This window comes from Homo sapiens, chromosome 9, assembly GCF_000001405.40.
Source record: "Homo sapiens chromosome 9, GRCh38.p14 Primary Assembly".
Taxonomy (NCBI): domain Eukaryota; kingdom Metazoa; phylum Chordata; class Mammalia; order Primates; family Hominidae; genus Homo; species Homo sapiens.
Window position 1 is genome coordinate 123,830,984 of NC_000009.12, and position 26,445 is coordinate 123,857,428.

A 26,445-nucleotide genomic window follows, 5' to 3' on the forward strand; every position below is an offset into this window, starting at 1 on the left:
AAAGGAAGGCATAAGGATTAGAAGAGGAAATAAAACTATTATTTGCAGGCAACATGATTGTGTTTAAAAAAATACAATATCTACAGATAAATTATTGGAATCAATAAAACAGCTTAGCAAATGTGCTGGATACTACGTCAGGTTTCAAAATTTAACTGTATTTCAACACATCCACAAATATTTAGAGTATGAAATTCAAAGATACCATTTACAATAGCAGAGAACACTAAATACCCAGAAATAAATATAATGAAAATAAGCAAGACTTATACACGAATATCTATAATAACTGAAAGAAATGACAAAAGGACCTACATTACATAAAGGAATCTGTCATGTTCATTATATAGTCTTCATGTGAAGACTAAATATGTAAATAATCAAATCTCCTCACATTTATATCAATTCAATGAAATCCCAATACAAATCTTAGCAAGGCACTTTAAGGGAAATTAACAAACCAATTCAAAAATTATATGAAACTACAAAGACCAATAATAACCAAGAAAAAACTTTTAACAATAACAAAATGGGAAGACTTAGTCTACTAGGTATTAGAACTTATTATAAAGCTTCAATAATTCATTCAGCTGGTAGTGGTAAAATAGATAAAGAGACCAGGAAGAGACCCCTGCATACATGGACATTTGATTAATGAAAGTGGCAATGTGGAAAAGTAGAGAAAGGATGATCTTTGCAATAAATAGTGCTATGCCTACTGAAGATTCATATGGCAAAATAATAATCTCAGCACTCTGGGAGGCTGAGGTGGGCAGATCACTTGAGGTCAGGTGTTCAAGACCAGCCTGGCCAACATGGTGAAACCCTGTCCGTACTAAAAGTACAAAAATGAGACAGGCATGGTGGTGAGTGCCTGTAATCCCAGCTACTCGGGAGGCTGAGGCAGGAGAATCTCTTGAACCCTGGAGGCGGAGGTTGCAGTGAGCTGAGATCATGCCACTGCACTCCAGCCTGGGCAACAGAGTGAGACTCCATCTCCAAAAAAAAACAATAACAATAATAAGTGAGGTGATGGACATGTTGATTCACTTGATTTAATCATTCCACATTGTACACATATATCAAAACATCACTTTGTACTCTATAAATATATAAAATTATGATGTCAATTAAAAATAATATTAACTTTTAAAAGAGTGGAAAGATAAGGCACAGAGTACAAGGTAAATTATAACACATAACCAAAGAAACTGTATCTAGAGTATACAAAGAATTCCTTAAAAATAACAACAAAACAACATAGCCAAATAACCAGCAGGTACATTAAAAGATGTTCAACTTCATGGGTAATCAGGAAAATGCAAATTAAAACCAAAGCAAAATACACTACCCATTCATTCAGAATGGCTAAAATTAAAAAGACCTTTAATAGTAAGTGTTGGTGATGATATAGAGCAAGAGGAGCTCACACAGCAGATGAGGATGCAAATCAGTTCCACCACATTGGAAAACTTGGCATTTTATGCTAAACATACACAAACAATATGACCCAGAAATTTCACTCCTATGTACATACCAAACAAAAGTGGGAGTATACAAACACCAGATATATTTACTATAATGTCATAGCTCCATTATTTGAAATAACCAAAACCAAAGGGGAAACATAAATCTCTACAGACAGTAGAATGGATCGATTGTGGCATATTCATATTACAGAATAGTGTATAGCAATGAAAAGGAGCAAACTACAGGTGCACACAAGGATAATCTCACAAATACAATTGTTGAGCAAAAGAAACCAAGTAAAATATTAAATACACTCATGACTCCATCTATATAACTCCATGTATATATGTTGAACAACAGGTAAAAATGATCAATGCTATTAGAAGTTAAGATAATGGTTTTAGCTGGGCACATTTGCTCACACTGTAATCATAGCTACTCAGAAGATTGAGGTGGGAAGACCATTTGAACCCAGGTGTTCAAGACCAGCCTGGGCAGCACAGCAGGAAATTAGCCAGGTTGGGGGTCCGGGGGAGCGGTCCATGCCTGTAGTCACGACTACTCAGGAAGCTGAAGTAGGAGGGTCCTCTGAGCCCAGGAGTTTGAGGCTACAGTGTGCTATGATTGCGCCACTGCGCTCCGGTCTGAACGATGGTGAGACCTCATCTCAAAAAAAAAAAAAAAAAAAAAAAAAAGGAAACGAAAGAAAAAAAAACAAAAAGGTAATGGTTCTCTAATTGAGGGAATGGTGTTTGGAAAGACACATAAGGATGGCTGGCAAGATGCTTACTAATGTTCTATGTCTTGACCTGGATGTTTTAACTTTGTGATAATCCATCAAACTGTTAACTTGTATTTCTGCATTTTCCTGTTTGTTCCTGTTTTTCATGTTATAAAAAAGTTTTTCTAAACATAAAAACAAAAACAAATAGCTGGAAAAAAAATCAGAATTTTACACTTTTTGGCAGACAATTTTTTTCTCCACAAATTCCTTAGGGGGGAGAAATGTGAAATTTCCTATAATGATCAAGTGAGAACCCTGCCAATTCCTAATTCCCAAGACCTACTCTGAGCTTTTTTAGGCATAATACATGAATTTCAGAAATGGTTAGTAAAAAAAAGTCATCATGAGCTTCACTAGCAGTAAATAGTCCTGAATGTGCCTCCATGTTTGATGTAATTATTTAACTGGGAAAAAGAAATAGCCTATATATTTTTCTGCACCTAAGCTTTCTAGTAAGCAAATGAGAGATATTCACCTTTCAGACTTTAGAAAGATCTTTTGTATTGATAACTCACATCAATGGGTCTTAAAACCAGCTTCAGGCCGGGCACAGAGGCTCATGACTGTAATCCCAGCACTTTGGGAGGCCAACATGGGCAGATCACAAGGTCAAGAGATCGAGACCATCCTGGCCAACACGGTGAAACCCCCTCTCTAAAAATACAAAAATTAGCTGGGCATGGTGGCACATGCTTGTAGTCCCAGCTACTCGGGAGGCTGAGGCAGGAGAATTGCTTGAACCTGGGAGGCGGGGGTTGCAGGAAGCTGAGATCACGCCGCTGCACTCCAGCCTGGCGAAAGAGCAAGACTCTGTCTCAAAAAAAACAGGCTCAAATAGAATACAGTTGTCTATTTTTTATTATCACTACTGTTAAATGAACAAATGCTTGATTTTTAAATCCTTGATACAAATTGAGACATTTGATACCTTTGCCAAAAGAAAATAGATAAAAGGAATCTACCTCCTCCACAATTCAGCAAGCACCAAAAGAAGTTAATTTATTCAACACATAAGGGTCACAACAGAATCATAAAAGCAGTCATCATTTACTGAGCTTTACTGTGTTCTGGACACTTGCTAAGTATATAAGAAACTCACTTCATCCTCACAACAATACTATGAGGAGGAATAAATTATCTTCCCCCATTTTACAGATAAGGAAATTGAGGCTTAGAGACATCAAATAATTTGCACAATTAACAAAGCAAGTAGCAGAGGGAGCTTTCAATCAGTTCATTGGTTTGGTGTGAAATACCTGATTTCTATTTTCTACTTTGTGTCTTTATTTTAAAATTTTAAGCCTAAGGACTATGAAATGCAGAGAACACGTATATATATGCTTACATAGATACACATGCATACGGGTTTTAAAGGCCCCAAACTACTCACACGTCATAAGCCCTGTATATAGCTCTGCACCAGAACAGAGCTTAGGTTTTCTCCAAGAAACAAAACGGACTTCTCAATGATAGACGAGCAAGCCAAAGCACCGCATATAGTAAGTCTACAAAGCATTAACTGGATTAATTAGCAAGGGATTTGAGAAGCAGCTTGGAGCTAGGAAACCAAAACACTAAATTGTTTAAATACTTTGGCAAAAGATCAAGGTTTCTAGGCAGCACTGGGTCTCCTTCCATCCTTTTCGTTCCATGTTTTAACACATTTAACCTGTCTGAGGTAGTTTTTCATGAGATATGAATGACATTGTCAAAATACCAAAAAGAAAAGAGAATTTAAAAAATACTGCAAGCTGTTACCAATTCTGCCAACAGGCAAGAGCCCAGGCAACATTAATTACAAATCAATCGCTCAGGACATAAACAGCTCTTATCACTGGTAAACTCTCCCTCTAAAATAACTTGCTTTAGAGGGGAAAAAAAAAAAAAAAAGCAAATGTCTCTTCTATTATACTCGGTGAACTAATCAGGACAATGAAACCAAATAAAACAGGAGAAAATGCACCAAATAGCAAACGTGAAAAAGGAATCCTAGCTAGATGAACGCCTGGAATGCTACCAGAATAGCACTGTCATTTAGAAATAACGAAGAGGAAGTGGTCAGGGTAGGGACACTAGCTGAATGGGTTTCTGGTTTCCAGGAAGTAAGAATTTTTACAACGCAGCTGATTTTCACAAACACATATGGCAGCAAAATGATAAAAGGCGGCTTTCAACAATACAATCATGGTAGAGGTGGGGGGAATCTGTGTCCCTCTAGTAATGAAGGTAGTTTTATAATGGTCAAGCACACTCATCACAGCCCTCACCACTGCCACACACACAACTATCCAATCATAATAATACATTTCAAAAATCAAAGGATCCTTCCAGAAGTCTAGTTCATCTAGACCCTATCCACAAACTACTATTCGTTTACCTAACTCTTTATCTTGGATATCTGCATTTTCCTCTTGATTTCCAGGAAAAAAAAAAAAAAAAGAAAAAACCTGAGTACCTTTCTACTGCAAAAACTCTCAAAACACACTCCTCCACCACACACTTCGTTCACTCCGATAGAAAAAAATTAGTAGAAAAGAATCACTAACTTTCCATCAAAATACATTCTGACTTCTGTTAGGTCCTTTGGGCTTCCTGAGGATATGGTAAAAAGTGGTATATGGTATATATGCTATATAAAAGTGGGGAGAGCTTCAGCTATGAAGCCTGGCAAAAGTGAGATGGTTAGGGGTTGTTTTCTCAACCTCCCTCAATAAAATGAGGAAGAAGGGCTATCTCAGAATTTGAGAATGAGAGATCTGTGTGTAAAGTATCCAGCAGGGTGTCTGACACACAGTAGGTGTTTGGCAGTTACTATTATTATTTCTCCTTGGTTCCGGGGACATGGTATGTTAAGTTTCAGGATAACATAAATTCTTTCCTGAACCAGAAATTTTATTGACAATTAGATAAACAAGCTGTTAGCAGATTACAGTAGGGTGCTATCTGTTGATTTTGAACAAAATTTACCTCAGTATGTCCAGGGCACTGTCTCCAAAGGTTTCACGACACTCTCACATTAATTGTGCACTTTCATAAAATAACTATGAGGAAAGGCTAATGGGCAATAATACCCCTGGGCTCACATATGAATTAACAAGACTGAAGGAAATCAGGGAGTTCACAGTGCAGCCAAGCTCACACAAATTTCTTGACTATGGGTATTTTATTCACCAGACTTGGCTTAATATGAGAGAAAAAGTAACACAAGTTCATTTCTTCAGTCAAATTATAGAGGGGAAAAATACGGTTAAGAAGAAAAAAGCTAATATACTTTTTTACAAAAATAAAAAGGATATATAATAAAATACCAAAAGAAAGGTAGCCAAAAAGGTGGTTAAGTAAAATATATTATAGTTTGAGTCTAAGTTTTTCATATCTCATATTAGAGAATTTTTAAGTGACTTAATATCACATGATATTCATTTCAAATTTGAGGAAATACTAAAATGTTACTGCATATAACAAATTTCTATACAGAAAAATGTATACAGGTATACATTTTTATAAATAATTTTTAATGTTATCTTACAAATAAAAGTTGTTTATTCACATTACAAAATTTCCCAGACTTTTTCAAAAGAAGTTCATTCCCTTTCTGTTTCATTTAACAGATAATTTACAAAAATAGTAATATAAAACGTTTTGGAATATTTATTGCATAAAATAGGCTACAATACAACTACATTTGTTATCTTCTATAGTTCCCTTACTAAACATATATTGAATACCTACTACGAGGAAAGTACTCTGAATACCTCATATTATTACATTTCTTATGCCATTAAATTCTCAAGATAATAAAATAGGAAGGGGATAGTAATTCCATATTACTGATGAGAAAACTGAGATCCAAAAAGGTCAAGTGCCTTGTCCAAGTCAGTTTACTGGCCAAGAAAGGGTCAGGATTTAAACTCCTCCCAACCGAGGATAAAGCCTGTGCATCTTATGTTTTGCATGCTGCTTTCCTATGTTCCTAGATTGTCTGCAATTAGAATAATCAAACGATCCCACCATTCCACTACATTCACAGACACCAGTGTCTCATCACTCAACAAAGATACTTCACAATTAGCACCCCCTTGCCTGCCCCCAAGAGGATCGACCATCTTTCAACAAACCAGGTCAAGTTAAAGGAGAAAACACAACTTCAAAATAGTCCTGTTGCATTAGCATAACCCAGAAACAATCAGATACCTATCCAGGGGTAAGGTATGGATACAAACATTATATATATGTAGTTTTTCTGAAAACTGAAAAACCAAACTATTTTAAAATTACTGTTCAACCAGATACTACTATCCAGGGATAAGGTATGAATAAAAACGTTATACATATGTAGTTTTTCTGAAAACTGAGACACCAAACTATTTTAAAATTATTGTTCAACACTATATAAAGAAGGCTAAAAGCACAATTTGGGAGCCCTGACTCTATCATGGCAATCTCAACCTAAACCTCAAGGTCAGCACCTCTTTTCCTAAAGAAAAGGAAAAAAACTGAGAAAGTGGAGAACCTGCCCAAATGTAAAGACCAAGAAAAACAGTGCTAGTCTACTTTGACTTCAGCTAATCCAACCTGATGGCATAAAACATATAAACCAATGCAATTTCTACACTATTCTGACACTGCTCCTGCACATGTTGTGGCAAAAAGACTGTACTATTTCTTTCATTCCTCCTATGAAACCTCTATGATGGGACCCATTAATAATCCCATTTTATAAATTAAAAATACGAAACAACTTGTACATCCTATCGTCACACAGCTTATAAACTGGCTGTACCAGAACCAGAATTTACGCTTTTAACCAACCCATACTGATGCAAAACCTTGTTCCAACAGAGAAGTTGAGCATTCCAGAAACACAACCTAACCATTAACCTTAAGCAGAGCTATTATAGACACAGGCAGCACAGTACAGACCTAGAATCGAATCAACAATCCACTACTTACTAGCTGTATTACCTTAAGGCAAGTTACTTCATCTTTCTGTGCGTTGGTTTGTAACACTTATAAAATGAGGACAATAATTAATCTCTTATGGGCTCCAGGAAGAATAAGAAAAAATACACACATACTTGTTCATCTGTGTATATATGTATATGTCTGTGTATGTGTATATGTGCGTGTATATATATAATATGTATATACATATATATAAAGCAAATAGAAGCTTAACAAACGTTAAGTTACAGCCACGAGCTTTGCTCCATTTCAATACTCAGTTATAAGAAAAATGATGATACTTGAGGAGCAATTGCAGAATCTGCTAGTGCTTTAACTGAATCCTTAGAAAACTGAAATTTGGACAACTTAAAAAAAATAGCCATATCAAGAATCATTAGTAACAATAGATCAGACCCAAAGATTTCCCAAATGTCCTTAAATTGCATTAGATATGTTGGCCAATCAATCATTCAAGGCGGTACCTGGAAAGAAAACCTAACAAAGAAAATTTCTTTTTCCTTCTACATTCAGTTTCCTTGTACAGTGGCAAGTAGGATCCAATTATGGATTTAGACCCTCAGGAAGCCCTACCTAGGAAAACCTCATTCTGAAAGAAAATCACTTCACCCTCACTCAGTGGCAGTGCCCAAACCCTCCCACTGTTTCCTCAGTTTGCAAATACAGCAGATAACGGAAATATTTTATTTATAGGGAAGTCCATAGCACATTTAAGTAGAAATAATCTTTTTAGGTGTATTATCATCTCCACAAAAAGCCACACATGGGCAAGAGCCATATCTTTTTCCATGCAGACATGTTTCACTCTGCTCACGCGGAAGGGGCAGTGCAGCAGAGCACCTGGAGGCCACGGGGACCATCCAGGTCTGGGCTGAGCCACACGCTCGAATCGACCTTGGGTACAGACAAAAAGTGTCTGTTAACGGTGGGAAGCCAAGCTTGAAAGATCATATAGACCACTTTGAACCATTACCAAGATAAGTGGTGAACGAAGGAAGCCAGCAGAGGCAAAGCCATGATGAAAGAGATGAAGCCACCCTGGTGCATGACTTTCCGGTTCCAATTGGTCCTCATGAAGCCCAGCTGGTTTTGCTTCCTGTCCTTCACTGTACAACAGACCTCTCCACCTCTATCCCTGCCCTTCCTGAGCTAGTTTTAGTGAAATTCCACCCCTTGTATTCAAAAACGCCTTAACAAGGACATTAGCCCACTGCCTGGCACACAGAAGGGATTCAATTAAACACATTTAAAAAACAGGAGTACAAACCTTATAAAATACATGATGTTAGATGGGGCATTCTCATAATTACAGTTTCCGCGACAGACAGGCCAATTTCCCTTAATCCACTTATCCAATAATTGTTAAGGAAATAAACAGTATTTGACACAACACGACACTTTATTCCAATTTATCATCTAATAATAATTAAGCATTCAAAGCTTACAATGAAAGCACAGCTCCACAGTTCATATTGTTCTTTTAAATTGAATAATTTGGAATCCTGTGAAGAGTTCCACCTTACAGCAGATTCCCTCATTCTTGTGCAAATACAATCTGTCTATCAACATATTAGCATTTCAATCACCCTTGTTTTTTTCATAACTGGGAGAAGCTGTCTTCATTTATTCCTATTGAGCATCTACCACCTATGAATTATTTCTGAAGCTAAGCAGTAGAATTGAATTTAAATCCAAGTAAATGAGAAACCGAAACTATTTTCAAAAATAAATGTAGGACACTGGTTCCAGTTGCATACTCCCAAATATTATAAATGTTCTTTAATGATTAATTTACTTTAAGGTGAAAATAATTTCTTTTGAATTAAATTGTTATAATAGTTAGAAATGGAACATCGACCCCATGTTTCAAGTGTTTTTGTCTATTTTTTTTTTTTTTCAAGAATTCTGGATCAATTTATATTCCTGGAGTAAATACATCCACCACTCAAAAAAAATTTTTTTAAGTCCCCTTTAAGCATCCCTTTAAGGTACTGACCATAAATGGTGTAATTTGCCCTGGACATCATTAAAATGTAAAGTTAATGAGGATTCAGCTGAAAACAGAAGGAATGTAACCTATTTTCAGGCAAAAGTTCTAACACAGCAATCAGAGGAAAAAGCTCTTTGATGTTTCTTTGTCTCTTCTCATTAATTTTTTTTGTCTCAAAAAAAAAAGACTATTTAAACTTAAAAAAAAGCACCAAAGTTTAAACATGATAATTATAACAGAACTCCAATGAGGTCGTTAGAATTTTTTATGAGATAAACAAGAATCAGTCATATATACATGGAGATAACACCACCTACCTGGCAGAGTTATTATAAGTTTTACAAATATTGTAAGTAAAATGTATAGCAGAATAGCTGACACATGAAAGGTACTCACTTATATTATCTCCCTCTTTGTCACACTCTGTCCCCAAGGGCCTAGCACAGTGCCGGTACAAAAATAGTAATCAAAGAGTCGCCATTATTATTATCACATATGCTGTATTTTTTTTCCTACTGAAGAACTCACTATATTAACCCTAACCTTCTTTCCAAGATTTATGCAAGACTCAGCACCGCCTGTTACTAGGCAGGTGGGGCGTTATCCAAATAACCAGCATGGAGTAAACAGTCTCGTGTGACATTTTATCATGTGAAGTGCCTACACAGGTATAAATATTATATCTTTTCTGGTTTTATTGCCTCATTTTACAATTATGCTACTAAAGAGCAAAATAGCATGCAGAATGTTAAGTGGCATTCTGCTGCTTGGAATTTCATCCCAAGGCTCCATTCAGAATAACAAATGTGGAAGCTATTTCATCTCTGCCCTATTGTGAAGAAAGTCATCACCTTTACTTAAATATATACGAGAGTTTGACTTTCTGCAACCCATTTTGTGCTAAGTGAAATCTTAAACCAAATGTGATAATTACCAAGGTGATGTCATTTAGAAAGTAGTATAGTGCTTTCCAGAGAGACCCTACCGTACACTTTGTTATTGTTATACCAATTCCATAATTCCAGTAAACAAAGACTAATCAGCAATAAGTGGATCTATCCAAGATGATGCACCCTTAAATACCATGAGAATTTAGAATTTCTCTTCACTCAAACAAAAAATTATAAATTCAATAAACTAATCACAGTTATTTTAAATGTTAAGAGATCATCAAAATAATGTTTCTCCAGTAATTTTCATTTTAAAGGCATTTCCACATAAATTACCTAATTTTCAGTGTTTGTTCATTCCATAAATATTCACTAAATCTTCTTAATATTGAGATCTGGTCATACAGTGGTGAAGAAAATACTGGGTGATCACTACCCTCACAGAGTTTAAGGTCCAGTACAGAAGCTCAGGCAAACTAACAACTGCACAAGTAATGTAACTATAAGCTATGATAACTGCCACAAGACTATACAGTGTAAGAACAAGCTTACTTTAGGGATCTGAAAAGGTTCCCCCCTAAGGATGATTTAATGTCTGAAGTGAGACCTGAAGGAATTGGTGCAGGGTGGGTGGGGGAAGGTGAGAAAGAGGTTTAGGACAATGATAGTTGAGAAGAAATACCTAGTTTTTAAAGATATTTAGGTAAATCAATCAAATTTTTCTGATATATTGAATATAGAGGGTGAGCAGGAAGGCAGGTGACCAGGATGAAGGCAGTAGGTTTTTAGTTTGCATACCTGATTTTTTAAATGTGCTGCTCAGTGGAAGGGGACCAGAGCTTCATTCAGTTTAATGAGCAGATCATGAGTTAGAATTCAGACATTTTGAATTTCAGATACTTTTCAGGCATCCAAACAGGTTGAGAGCTCAGAAGAAATGTTTCATACCTCATTCATTTATTCAACATGCAATTCCCAAGAAACAATTTGTATTAAGTCCCATGTTTCTCATTAGGGAAAAGAAGGTGAACAGGATGCTCAGCTGCCCTTTGAAAGAAACAAGTATGTTGACAGATGTGTAGAAGTACACCAGAATTCAAAGGAAGGAAAGACTGAGTCTGTCTGGACAATCAGGGAAGGCAGCATGAAGAAAATTATCTTGAAGATAAATGCCAATTCCTCCAATGAGGCAAGAGAAAAGACATTTCAGACAAAGAAACAGCATCTGAAAATGACAATTACTTTGCAGTGGCTGCAAGTACAATGTATGAGAGGTGAGAAGTAAAAGAAAAAACCATGAGGACCATATTTGCAGAAATACAGAGGAGCAAGAAAATATTAATGTTACAGCTCTTTCAGAATTTGTCTAGGTTTTCTGGTTTAGCAGAAAAAAAAAAGAGAGAGAGAGAATGCTATGAACAAATGTGTGCCAATGAATTAGATATATGAAATGGACAAATCTCTAGAAAAATACAAACTACCAAAACTGATTTAAGAAGAAACAGAAAATCTGAATAGACCTATAGCAAGAGATTGAATTACTAATTTGAAAACTTCCCACCAAAACAGATGAACTCAGATGACTTTACTGGAGAATTCTACCAAACATTTAAAGAAGAATGAATACCAATTCTTCATAAACTCTTTCAAAAACTAAAATATGAAGAAAAACTTTCCAATTCATTCTATAAGGCCAGTATTATGCTGATACCAAAAGCAAACAAATATAAGAAAACTAAAAATGCAAAAATACTCAATATATTAATACTAGCAAACCAAATCCAGCAACACAAAAAAAGGAATACACACCATGACCAAGTGAGATTTATCCTAAGAATGCAAGGTTGGGTGCCTGCATTAGGGCCAGGACAGCCCTTCCCACATGATAGTAGGATGCAGTAGTTCCCCAAGTCCCTTCCCCAAGCGAGAGAGATAGCCACTCAAGAAAATACCATGAAAGATACTGACATCAAAAAACTACTTTATACCCATATTTTATGCATATTTTCAATTATCCTAAGTGTCTTCATTCCATCATTCTTCTTGGAGAACTTCTCAATATTGTAAACACACTTGACATGGTTGTGCATATGTTCTGGTTTTGTAGCTGCTGTCAATCTAGTATTATATTTAGTAGTGAAACCAAATGCATCCCCTAAAAAAGTTCATTATCACACAAGGTAACTTGATTTTTGAAATGCTGTATCTACCTTCTTTTGTCCTGTTTCTCCTTCCATGTAATTTTTGTTCTATATGGAGCTAAAAGAGTTGGTGTTGGAAACATTTTTATTTGCAGTCATTTTGTCTACTTTTACCACTGTACCTTATGTTTGTTAGAACCAAATCTCAAAAGCATAGCTTAGAGTTTTCAGTAGAAATGGTGTTACAGCCATTTGGGAGAATAGTCTCCAGATCATTACAATTTCTAGTTTTGTAGGAGCATAACTTGAAGCACTGCCAATACCACTGAGTGGAGAAAGACTATGGCAGGTATGGCCCATCTCCTATATGCTTGGAGTGACCTTTAGCAACATGGATGGACTTGTTATTTTACCATTCTGGATATACTGGAATATAAAGCAATTTCTATACAAGAACAATTAATTGGAGCAAAGGGAGAAAATATTCCTTTGCATATATTCCATAGGGCTGTGCAAAAATGTATATAATCAAAGTCAAGTAGTTCCATTACAGCACTGTGTTTTACGTAATTACAACATGATGTAATTGTAGCTTTTTAAACCATGAAACTCCTTGGAGATTGTATCTTCTAGTTAAAATAAAGTACTTACGATAGAATTTTTAAAAACAAGAATGCAAGGTTGGTTTAACGTCCAAAAATAGATTAATGTAATAAGCCGTATCTAGAGAATGATGAACAAAAATCACACAATCATCTCAAAAGACACAGAAAAAGCATCTGACAAAATCCAATATCCTTTCATAATAAAAAAAATTAAACAAACTAGAAACAAAACAGAACTTCATCAAGCTGATAAAGGGCATCTAAAAAAATGATATAATTAATATCATAATTATGCCAAAAGACTAAATGTTTCTCTTTAAGATGCGGATGAAGAAAAGAATATTCATTTCTGCCACTTCTATTCAACACTGTATTGGAGGTTCTAGCCAGGGTAATTAGGTATGAAAAAGAAATAAAAGTCATCAAGAATAGAAAGAAAGAAGTAGTACTATCTTGATTTGTACATTACATACTCTTACACAAAGAAAATCCTAAGAAATTCACTAAAAACCTATTAGAACTAATAAACTAGTTCATCAAATCTGCAGGATAATAGATCAATATTTTTAAAAATCAATTCTATTTCTATACACTAACAAAGAACAATACAAAAATGAAATTCAAAATTTCCATTTACAATAACATCAAAAAGATTAAGAAAAATAGGAATAAATTTAACAAGGGAATTGCAAAACTTATACTCTGAAAACTACAAAACATTATGGGGAAAAAAACCCTAAACATTACCTTAATAAATGGAAAGATATCCTATATTCATGGATTGCAACACAATATTGTTAAGCTGACAATCCTCCCCAAATGAATCTACAGATTCAATTAAATCCCTACCAAAATCCCAGCTGGGCTTTTTGCAGAAATTGATAAGCTAATACTAAAATTCATATGGAGATGCAAGGGACCCAGAATAGTCAAACAATCTTTAAAAAGAACAAAATTGGAGGACTCATACTTCTCAATTTTAAAATTTACTACAAATCTACAGTAATCAAGACAGTATAGTACAGCATTAGGATATGAACAGGATTCAGAGTCCAGAAATAAATATTTGCAATTGTCAATTACAATTGTCAATTAATTTTCAACAAGGGGCCAGGCACGGTGGCTTATGCCTGTAATCCCAGCACTTTGGGAGGCTGAGGTGGACAGATCACTTGAAGCCAGTAGTTCAAGACCAGGCTGGCCAACATGGCGAAACACCATCTCTACCAAAAATACAAAAAATTAGCTGGGCATGCTGGCACGCACCTGTAGTCCCAGCTACTCAGGAGGCTGAGACACAAGAATCTCTTGAACCCGGGAGGCAGAGGTTGCAGTGAGTCAAGGTTGTGCCACTACACTCCAGCCTGGGCAAGAGAGCAAGGCTGTGTCTCCAAAAAACAAAAAAAAAATCAACAAGGAAACCAAAACAACTCAATGGAGAATTAATACTTTTCAACAGAAGGTGCAGGGGCAATTGACTATCTACGTTTGAAAGAATAAAGTTAGACTCCTTCCTTATAAGCATATATAAAAATCAACTTGATTTGGATTGTAGGCTGGGGATACTGGTTCATGCCTTTAATCCCAACACTTTGGGAAGCTGAGGCAGAAGAATCACTTGAGGCCAGGAGTTCAAGACCAGCCTGGCCAAAATAGCAAAACCTCATCTCTCCCTACCCACCCCCCAAAAAATTAAGTGGGTGTGGTGGCATACACCTGTAGTCCCAGCTACTTGCAAAGCGGAGGTGGGAAGATTGTTTGAGCCTGGGAAGTTGAGGTTGCAGTGAGCTAAGTTCATGCCACTGTATTCCAGCCTGGGTGACCAAGTGAGAACCTGTCTCCAAAAAAAAAAAAAAAAAAAAAAAAAGAGGAATAAAAAAGGAATGGATTATAGACCCAAATGTAAGAGCTAAAACCTAATAAACAAACAAACAAACAAACTTAGAAGAAAACACAGAAATAAATCATTGTAACTTTAGGATGGGCAATGGTTTCTTAGGTACCATACTAAAGAACAAACAACAAAAGAAATATTAGATAAATAGGACTTCACTGAAATGAAAACTTCTGTTTCAGGTGACACAATCAAGAAAGAGAAAAGTTAACCTACAAAGTGGGAGAAAGTACTTGCAAGTCACATATCTGATAACAGGTTTGTATCTAGAATATATAAAGGACCCTTATAACCTGGTAATTTTTTAAACGACCCAGTCACTGGATAGGTATTTCTCCACAGAAAATATACAAGAAGCACACTAAAAGATGCTCAATATAATTAGGCATTAGAGAAAGGCAAATCAAAATAACAATGATATGTCACTTCATCCCCACTAGAATGGCTATAATAAAAGAGACAGACAACAGTATCCACTGACAAGAATGTAGAGAAACTGGAACCTTACACATTGCTGGTGGCTATATAAAATGGTGCAGCTGTTATGGAAAACAGCTTGGCAGTTACTCAAAAAGCTAAAAAATAGAATTACCATATGATCCAGCAATGCCATTCCTAGGTATATACCCAAAGGAATTGAAAGCAGAAATGCAAACATATACCAACAATGAATGACATTGTTGATTGCAGCATTATTCACAATTGCTGAAAAGTGGAGATAACCAAATTGTCCATCAACAGATGAATGGATAAACAACATGCAGTATATACATCTAATGGATAAATATTCAGCCATAAAGAGGAATGAAGTTCTGTACATACTACAACATGAATAAAGCTTGAAAACATTAGGGTAAGTGAAATAAACCAGACAGAAAAGGACAAATAATATATGATTCCACTTATATGAGGAAACTAGAATAGGCAAATTCATAGAGACAGAAAATAGGATAGAGGATACCAGAGGTTAGGAAGGAAGGGAAAATGGGAAATTATTGTTAATGATTACAAAGTTTTTATTTGAGGTGTTGAAAAGATTTTAATAACAGATAGTGGTGATGGCTGCACAACAGTGTTAAACATAATTAATACCACTAAATTTACACTTAAAAATATTTAAAATGGCAAATTTTGTTTTATATATACACATATTACTCCACAATTTAAATAATATACCAAAACCATTAATTATATCTTTTATTAATGGGCAAATTGTATGGTTTGTGAATATCTCAAGAAACTTATTAAAAATAATTAAAATTAAACACTAAATCAATGGGTTTTTTGTTTGTTTTCATTTTTGTAGAGACAGGGTCTCACTATTTGCCCAGACTGATCTTGAATTCCTGGCCTCAAGCAATCCTTTCACATTGGCCTCCCAAAGTGCTAGGTTACTGGTGTGTGCCACTGTGCCTGGCCATAAATGGATGGTTTTAAAAGCAATTAGACACAGCTGAAGAGAGAACTAGTAAACTGGAAGAAAGACTTGAAGAAGTTATTGAATATATCAGAGAGAAACAGATTGAAAACACACAAAAAAAATGGTTTAAAACTGTAAAGGACAAAAAGAGAATGTCAGACATATGTGTAATCAAAGCTCCAAAAAAAAAAGAAGTTCTAAGTCCTCAGATTCAAAAAGCTGGTCCTAACCAAGATATATAAGAAGAAAACTCCACTGCTAGACATATATCATTGCTAAACTAGAAAACAAGACACAAAAATATTAATTATAATGGAAAGGGACTTCAACAGCAATATAGGAAGCCAGAAGACAACAAAATGACATCTCCAATATGAGGTTAGAATAAGGACATCTTCAGATAAACAAAACTAAGATATTTGCCACTAACAAAGAATATTATTCAAGCAAGAAGATTAGCCCAGATGAAAAAACTCTGAGATGCAAGAAGACATAAAGAACAAAGAAAATGGCCAGGCACAGTGGCTCACACTTGTAATCCCAGCACTTTGGGAGGCCAAGGCGGCCAGATCACTTGAGGGCAGGAGTTTGAGACCTGCCTGGCCAATATGGCAAAACCTTGTCTCTACCGAAAATACAGAAATTAGCTGGGCGTGGTGGCATGCACCTGTAATCCCAGCTACTCAGGAAGCTGAGGCAGGAGAATTGTTTGAACCAGGAGGCGGAGGTTGCAGTGAGCCGAGATAGCCCCACTGTACTCCAGCTTGGGCGACAGAGCGAGACTTCATCTCAAAAAAATAAAAAACAAAGAACAAAGAAAATAGAAAATACACAGATAAATCTAAACAAGCATTGGTTATATAAAAAAATCAATAATATCTTACATGTTTAAAGTAAAATACACAACAATAAAAACCATATAAACAAGGAGGGGAATGATTAAAGTCAAAACAATATACAATCTTGTATTGTCCAGGAGGAGGGTAAAGATGCCAATTAAAGTTAAATAAACATGCAAAAATTTCTCAGAAACTGTTGATTTGTATGGGCATAGTTTGTTTTATTGCACTTCAAAGATACTGCTTTAAAAAAAAAAAAAAAAAAAAAAAAAAAAACAAATTGAAAGTATATGACAACCCTGGATAGAGCAAGTCATTTCCTGTCTCTGTGTCACATTTTGGGAATTTTTTGCAATATTTCAAACTCTTTAAATTATTATTATATCTGTTATGATGATCAGTGATCAATGATCTTTGATGTTGCTGTTGTAATTGTTTTGGGGTGCCATAAACCATGCCCATATAAGATGGCAAACTTCGTCAATAAATGTGTGTGTGTTCTGACTGTTCCACCAACCAGCCATTCTCCCATCTTTCTCTTCCTTGGGCCTCCTTATTCCTTGAGACACAATAATATTGACATTAAGCCCATAATTCACCCTACAATGGCCTCTGAGTATTCAACTGAAAGGAGGAGTTGCATGTCTTTAAATCAAAAGCTAAACATAATTAAGCTTAGCAGTGACGAAGGCATATTGAAAGTCAAGATAGGCTCAAAGTTAGTCTTCTTGTACCAAACAGCCCAACTGCGAATCCAAAGGAAATGTTCTTGAAGAAAAAGAAAAGTACTACTTCAGTAACACATGAATGATAATAAAGTGAAACAGCCTGATTGCTGATACATGAAAGTTTTAGTGGTCTGGACAGATCAAACCAGCCACAACATTCCCTTACACAAAAGCCTGATCCACATCAAGGCCCTGACTCTCTTCAATTCTATGAAGGCTGAGAGAGGTGAGGAAGCTGCAGGAGAGTTTGAAACTAGCAGAGGTTGGTTCATGAGGTTTAAGGGAAAATGCCATCTCCATAACATAAAAAAGTGCAAGGTGAAGCTGCAAATCCTGGTGCAGAAGCTGCAACAAGTTATCCAGAAGTTCAAGCTAAGATCATTGATAAAGGTGGCTACACTAACAAAAGATTTTCAATGTAGATGAAACCACCTTATATTAGAAGAAAATGCCATCTAGGACTTTCATAGCTAGAGAGGAGATGTCAAAACCAGCTTCAAAGGACAGGATGAATCTTTTGTTAGGAGCTAATGCAGCTGGTGACTTTAAATTCAAACCAATGCTCATCGACCATTCTGAAAATCCTAAGGTTCTTAAGTATAATATTACGCTAAATCTACTTTGCCTGTGCTCTATAAATGGAACAAAGCCTGGATGCCAGCACATCATTTTATAGCATGTATTACTATTTAGGTTGGTGCAAAAATTATTCTGGTTTTTGCCATTGAGTAATGACACAAACCACAATTACTTTTGCACCAACATAATAAATAGTCTAAACCCACTGTTGAAACCTACTACTCAGAAAAAAAGACAATGCACCTGGTCATCCAACAGCTCTGATGGAGATATACAAGGAGATGAAGGCTGTTGCCAGGCCTGCTAACACAACATCCATTCTGCAGCCCCTGGATCAAGGAGTAATTTTGACTTTGAAGTCTAAGAAATACATAAGGCTATAGCTGCAATATATAGTTATTCCTCTGATGGGTTTGGGCAAAATAAATTGAAAACCTTCTGGAAAGAATTCACCATTCTAGATGCCATTAAGAACAATTGTGATTTGTGGGAGGTCAAAATACCAACATTAACAAGAGTTTGGAAGAAGCTGATTCCAGCCCTCCTGGATGACATTGAGGTATTTAAGACTTCAGTGGAGGAAGTAATGCAGATGTGATAGAAGCTACAAGAGAACCAGAACTAAAAGCAGAACCTGAAAATGGGACTGAATTGCTGCGATCTCATGATAAAATTTGAATGGATGAGAAGTTGCTTCTTACAAATGAGCAAAGAATGTCCTTTCTTGAGATGGAAACTACTTTTGGTGAAAACATTGTAAACATTGTTGAAATGACAAGAAAGCATTTATAATATTACACAAACCTGGTTGATAAACCAGTAGCAGCGTTTGAGAGGTTTCCGATTCTAAAAGGAGTTCGACTGGGGGTAAAATGCTATTAAAGAGCATCACATCCTACAGAGTAATCTTTCGTGAAAGGAAGAGTCAATCAATGCAGCAAACTTCATTGCTGTCTTACTTTAAAAAATTGCCACAGCCATCCCAGCCTTCAGCAGCCACCATCCTGACCAGCCGGTAGCCATCAACATTTAGACAAGATCGTTTGCGATCAAAAAGATTACAAGTTGATTGTTAGCAATTTTTAGCAATAAAATATTTTTAAATCATGATATGTACCTTTTTAAACATAATGCTATTATACAATTAATAGACAATAGTAGAGTATAAACATAACTTTACATGCATTGGGACACCAAATAAATTTGTGACTCACTTTATTGCGCTATTCACTTTATTGTGGTCTGCAACTAAACTGAACCTGCAATATCTCTGAGGTATGCCTGTATTAGTTAACATTATGGACACTGAAAGCACACGACCTGGGTTCAAATCCCAGCCCTACTACTTGATAGCTCTGTGGCCTTGGACAGATTACATAAGCTCGCCATGCCATGGTTTCCCCATCTGTAAAATTGAGACAGTAACAGTATCTATCCCATAGGGTTTTTGTGATGATTAAAAGAGTTAATATAGGTAAAGCATATAAAACAATGACTGGTATAAAATAAGCACTACTAAGTCATAGCCACCATTATTTTCAGTGTATCAGTTAAAGGCACAGAAATAGTATTTAAGTCCCAAATGATAAAAGGGAAAAAATTGAATGATTAAAATGCTTAAATAATCCAAAAGAAAGGAATAAAAAAATGAAGCATAAAAAGCATTTCCAGTAAAAAATACAGGTAAGATGACTGGATTTTAAAAGATCCAACTATATATTGCTTTCAAGAGACACGTCTTCAACACAAGAATGAAAAAAAAATAAGAAAACACAAGCATGGAAGTGTATAATTTGATGAGTTTTGACATATGTGTACATCCATTAAACCATCACCACAATCAATCAACCCCAAAAGTTTCTTTGTGCTCCTCCGTAATCTATCCCTCCTGCTGCACTCCCCACCACCCATCCCTAGGGAACCACTGGTGTGCTTTCTGTCACTATACATTAGTTTGTACTTTCTAGGCTTTTATATAAATGGAATCAGAAAGTATGTACTCTTTTTGTCTGGCTTCTTTCACTCAAGATAATTATGTTGAGATCCATCCATGTTGTTGAATATAGCAATACCTTGTTCCTTTTTATTACTACTATTCTATGTATAGAACTCAATTTGTTTACTCCTTTCTAGCCTCTCCAGACAATAAATGATGTTAAAATTACGAAATGGCCTCTGGGTAAAGATCAAATCCAGGGTACTCTTAGGATAAGAAAAAGCTAAGGGGGTGATTTTAAAATTCTTTGCAAGACCTCCAAAAGACCTAAGGTGGCACCATCATAGAGAACCATTCAGTTAAACAACAGGGCTTCTAAGAAGCTTACAACTGTTGTTCCTCAGTGGTCTCACTAGAAAACCAAAGTAGAAAAGGCGGGCTTATCTCAAAGACATTTGTGGGTATGAATATTATGTCAAGGAGTAAACTCCAGCAGATTCACAGGACAACAAAGGAGTTTTTAAGAGGCTCCTACGGGGAGAAACACAGCTAGCCTGGACTGAAAGGAACAAAGAAAATACAAATGAAAAAACAATAGGCTGTTGACTCACTAAACTTTACAGACCAGAAGCAGGCTGAGAAACCACTCAGTTGCAAACACAGGTTCTCTTTTATTTAAAGAAGGACGATTCAGAATCCAAAAGCCCAGAAGGTAGAACTAAGAGCCATGGTGAGCCACTCTCAGGCTAGAGCAGGACTGAGTCTCCATCAGGAAACTTCCAACATTTGCCCAGCGTATTTGGGGACCGCTATTGAGTGCTATGTGCTCCAACGTGCCTCCTGCTGGCCCCCTTTTAAACAATCAGTGTCTTCGGCAGTTATCTTCTGCCTGTCCCGCCATTACACTCTGGGGAAGAGTGGTGGTGGTAGGGACGGGGAACAGTTAACTTCTCTCTTTAGTTTACAAATTGAGAGGGCCTGTACTTGAGAAGCTATACTTAAGAAGTCATATCTAAGTTTCTCATCCTCACCTAAGCCTGATTTAGTTCCGGAGATTGAGGGGTCTGAGCTGCTGATGTAAGGATGGCACTTTTGGGGACCTTGGGGAGGCTGAGGATACACAGATTTCCATAGCAACTGGGTATAAAACTGTTTGCTCCCTGCTGCCTCTGCTGAGCTGCCACAGCACTTTGTGCCTGTCTCTATTTATCCCAAATAATGTATGGCTACTGGTTGACTATTTATTTCCCTCATCAGATGTAAACTCCTCAAAAAGAAAGTGTTTTATTTATATCCATAGCATTAAGTCCTTCAAAGACTTGTTTGAATTTATGAATAAGTATATGAAGAAAGCCAGTCTGTCATGGACTCAGGCCATCCAAAGCCACACTAATGAATATAACAGCACACTCCCAGTGCACTTATGCGACGGGCCTCAGTTAAACATTTAGGAAAGCTAAGCAATTAAAAATAAGAATGTTCACCTTATCCACCACAGCAGCAGAGGGAATACTGAAACTCAGGACTGATTCTCAGGAACATCCTGAAAACACCACCCTATAAACCTGCATTTTAATAGCCTGACACAGCTCAAAAACATTGGCTGATAAGAGTGCAACTAGTTTTTAAAAAGAAAGAAAAAACCTTCCAAAGATGTTTCATTTTAAATTGTTTTTCTTTCTTTTTTTTTTCTTTTTTTCTTTTTTGGTTTTGAGATGGAATCCTGCTCTGTCACCCAGGCTAGAATGCAGTGGCATAATCTTGGCTCACTGCAACCTCCACCGCCTGGGTTAAAGCCATTCTCCTGCCTCAGCCTCCCCAAGTAACTGGGATTACAGGTGAACACCACCACATCCAGCTAATTTTATTATTTTTAGTAGACACGAGGTTTCACCATGTTGGCCAGGCTGGTCTCGAACTTCTGACCTCATGATCCGCCGGTCTCAGCCTCCCAAAGTGCTGGGATTACAGGCATGAGCCACCACGCCCAGCCTTTAAATTTTATTATAAATAACCAGTGATCAGTTATCAATAAGGCAAGTATAGGTTGACTCCTCAACTGTTGTACAAAAGAATAGAAGCGGGGGAGAAAATATTTCATTTGGAACACTTTTGTAAAAACCCCTTAAATTGAGGAGACTGAAATTATGAGCTCTAGGCCGGGCGTGGTGGCTCACACCTGTAATCCCAGCACTTTGGGAGGGTGAGGTAGGCGGATGACTTGAGTTCAGGAGTTCGAGACCAGCCTGGCCAACCTGGTAAAACCCCATCTCTACTAAAAATACAGAAATTAGCCAGGCATGGTGGCAGGCGCCTGTAATCCCAGCTACATGGGAGGCTGAGGCATGAGAATCACTTGAACCTGGGAGACAGAGGTTGCAGTGAGCCGAGATCACACCACTGTACTCCAGCCTGGGTGACAGAGTGAGACTCTGTCTCAAAAAAACACAAAAATTATGAGCTCTAGCTAGCACTCAGGTTTTAGGAAACAAATCTTTCTGTGAGGGTCTCCAAGAGATTTGTTTTTTGACACAATAAGGGCTCAATGACAGAGTAAAGAAATCATTCAGTAGCACTCCAGGGCAATACTTAGAGACATCTTTCTATCTTGAGATGCCAGCCTCTCAAAAAAGCTACTGTTCCTCTCAATGGGCCGGAAAATGTCTCAGATTAAGAAGCATTTCCTTTAGGTAACTATTACAATACACCTACTTCTAAGATATTTTCATGGGAAAAAAAATATATGTATCATCACCTTTAGAATATTAGGATATATTAGTATATATCAACACCTTTAGAAAGTCAATCACACTGTACACATAATTTGCAGGAAAAGAGAAACCGTGGGTGAAACAAATATTAGGCAGCAATAACTGAGGCAGATGAAAGTATTTACAAATTCATTTTTAACCCACTGCATTAACTCATTTTGAGCAAGATCATTCTTTCTACATTTCTGCTGGCAAAAATCAACCTTGCTGGTCTCTCAACACAAATGGCAACATTCATCCTAGCCCTCAGCTGATTCTCCTGCCCGGGAACTTCAGACTGTTCCTTGATCCCAATCACAACATTTGTAAAGAACGTCTACATGTAATAGGACCCAGATGTTTAATATTTTGTCTCAGATTTAAAAATAAAATTCAAAATGACCCAGAAAGCAAAGTAAAACAAAAAAATAAAAAATGAAGCTGGGCACGGTGGTTCACACCTGTAATCCCAGCACTTTGGGAGGCCGAGGTGGGTGGATCACCTGAGGTCAGGAGTTTGAGACCAGCCTGGCCAACATAGTAAAACCTAGCTCTACTAAAAATACAAAAATTAGCCGGGTATGGTGGCATGCACCTGTAGTCCCAGCTACTCAGGAGGCTGAGGCAGGAGAATCACTTGAACCCAGGACGCAGAGGGTGCAGTGAGCTGAGATCATGCCATTGCACTCCAGCCTGGGTGACAGAGTGATACTCTGTCTCAAAAAAAAAATAAAAATAAAAATAAGTAAAATGAAATAAAAAATGAAGCAACTGATTTAATCAATTTAAGCAAATGGTTACCAGTTCACATGAAGTTTCTCTCTCCTCTTCTGTCTCTTGGTCGAATATATCTTCATCTTATCAGCTACCGAGATAGTACCAGACATTGCCACAACCTACTGCATGCAAAGTGGTAATAAATGCAGTGGAAGGGAAATAGAAGATAATGAACCGATCCTTCATATACTCTAAATCTCTTTTCTACCTTGCTAAGAAAAACAAGATAAGTCCCTGGAGATACTCTAGAAGTAAATGTAACCATAGGTAAAACTCCACTCTAAAAAACACAATTATAATGTCCAGTTCTATGTAAATGGAGCTATTTCAAAAGCCTCACAAACAACTGATACTAACATTGCCTTGCTTATTTGGACATAACAAATTCCACTGAATGAGATATTTTTAAATATCTCTTCATTTAGCTAGCTACCTACTGAATACGATTATTCTTCAAGGGAGAATTCAAGCAAGAAGGTTCCTGCCCTCAAGAAAAACAGAAAAGACAATTATAATACGATATGCAGGGTGCCAAGAGGGAGGGTATCTAACCAAGTCTGTGAAGGATGGCAGAGAGGGGGAAGCAAGGGTAGACAGAAAAAAATGGAGGATTAGAGAAGGCCTCCTAAAAGAGGTGGCACCTTGTCTAAGTTATAAAGGACAATGGAAATAAACCAGGAAAATAGGGAGAAAGAGTATTGTACAGAAAAGAGAAAGACCAGATCCTAAGGTATGAAAGAAAATAGACTAAAGTGGCTCAGCTAGTGCAGAAGGTCAATGACAGGCAGTAGTGAGCGACAAAGGAGGAGAGGTCAGCCAAGTGATGAGGAGCCTTCTGTGCCACGCTAAGATTTGAGTATTACCCTGTAGGTAATGAAGAGGCATTATAAGGTTTAAGCAGAAGACTGGCATGATTATATTTGTTTAAAACACACATTATGACAGCAGGACAGAAGAAAAGGGGTTGGAAGGGATAAGACTCCAGCTAAGGAAACCAATTAAGTGTCCAGGTGCGGCGGCTCACACCTGTAATCCCAGCACTTTGTGAGGCTGAGGCAGGCGGATCACCTGAGGTCGGGAGTTCAAGACCAGCCTGACCAACATGGAGAAACCCCACCTCTGCTAAAAATAGAAAATTAGTCAGGCATGGTGGCACATGCCTGTAATCCCAGCTACTCGGGAGGCTGAGGCAGGAAAATCGCTTGAACCCGGGAGGCGGAGGTTGCATTGAGCCGAGATCGCGCCATTGCACTCCAGCCTGGGCAACAAGAGCAAAACTCCGTCTCAAAAATAAAGAAAACCAATTAAGTGGCAGTAATCCAAGAAAGAATAAGGAAGGCCAGAACTAAGTCAATGGCAATGAATTGGATAACAAGGGAGAAAAAAACATAGGAAAAGATCAAGAAATTAGACTTTACTTTCTCTTCCTAATTGACAATTTAATCCTTAAGTCGAGGTACACGTCCATACTTGGTGAGAAGTAGCCACAGTAGTCCAGAGTAGGTAAGGATGGCATCCACATAGGAGGGCTTGCACAATATGGGGACTCAAAGTGCAACCAGTGCGAGAAGAGCGCCCACACTGTCTAGAGTAATCTAACATAGGGTGTCAGAACCCAATTGTGACAAGGGTGCCCACAGAGGAGAGTGAACTAGTGTGGGGAGAAAAAGCCCAAGCAGGGATACACAGTCATCCACAGGGAACAGCTGCATGGCAGGGGGTGTCAGTGTCAACGCAGTTTGAGAAGCGTGTCCATGTTAAAAGATGATCTGGTGTGAGGTGTCAGAGCACCTGAGCAGGGTAAGGAACTTTCCATGCAGGGGCCACCTGATAGGGTGTCAGATCCTGAGGAGGATTATGCAGGGAACAACATGGAAGGACATGGCAGCCATGCACGGGGTGTCAAAATTCAAAGTGAAGAGAGCACCCACACAGAAGGACCAGCCTGGCAGGGCTTGTCAAAGACCAAGGTGGATGAGGTGGGCATTCAGGCAGAAGAGGCAGAGCGACACAGGGTATCAGAGCCCCAATTGAGTTAAGGAAGACATCCACACTGGGTAGGCATTGGTGGCAGCCATGATGACAGAGTAGTCATGTACAAGGGATTAATAAGTAAATATATTAAGGATAATGGGAACCAGGCTTCTCACAGTTGAAGAGAGAAGTTACAAATATGGAAAGGGAGAAAACTTGAATGAATCGGTGGTATTGGTTGAAATCGGAAGTACTGGTGTGGACTCACACTTTTCAATATACACAGATAGATGCAGAAATACATATAGATGTACTCTCTGACCCTGACCACCAAGAAGGCCTAGAAGCAGCAACACCACCATAGCAATGAACACACATAGAATCAAAATTTTGGCTTTTAAATAGCATTCTCCACCAAAAGGAACCTTGGGAAAATGGCAGATTTCATGGCTAAGGAAAAGAAACTAAAAGATGAGCACAGAACATCTTGCACCAGAAAGCAAAGGAGAACCCAGAGAATGATGAGGACCAGTCAAAAGAACACAAGAGCCCTTCAAGTTGGCTCCTAATGATCAAAGCTGGAACAAATTGAATAATTCAATTCACTCAAATAATTTGAACAATTCAGTAACAACCTTGAATAAGAAAGGAGTAAGTCCAAAGTCAAATAAACAAATAAACTGAAAGTTTAATGAGAAATGGA

At 37.3% G+C, this 26,445-nt stretch overlaps 1 protein-coding gene and 2 pseudogenes across 28 annotated transcripts in view; 2 read left to right on the plus strand and 1 right to left on the minus strand.

Moving 5' to 3' along the window:
* DENND1A (DENN domain containing 1A) overlaps positions 1-26,445 on the minus strand; it is a 550,469-nt gene that overhangs the window by 451,326 nt on the left and 72,698 nt on the right. The gene's annotated exons all lie outside the window — the stretch shown is intronic.
* Positions 11,439-11,495, plus strand: LOC124902336 (uncharacterized; annotated as a pseudogene).
* PIGFP2 (phosphatidylinositol glycan anchor biosynthesis class F pseudogene 2) lies at positions 11,966-12,897 on the plus strand (annotated as a pseudogene).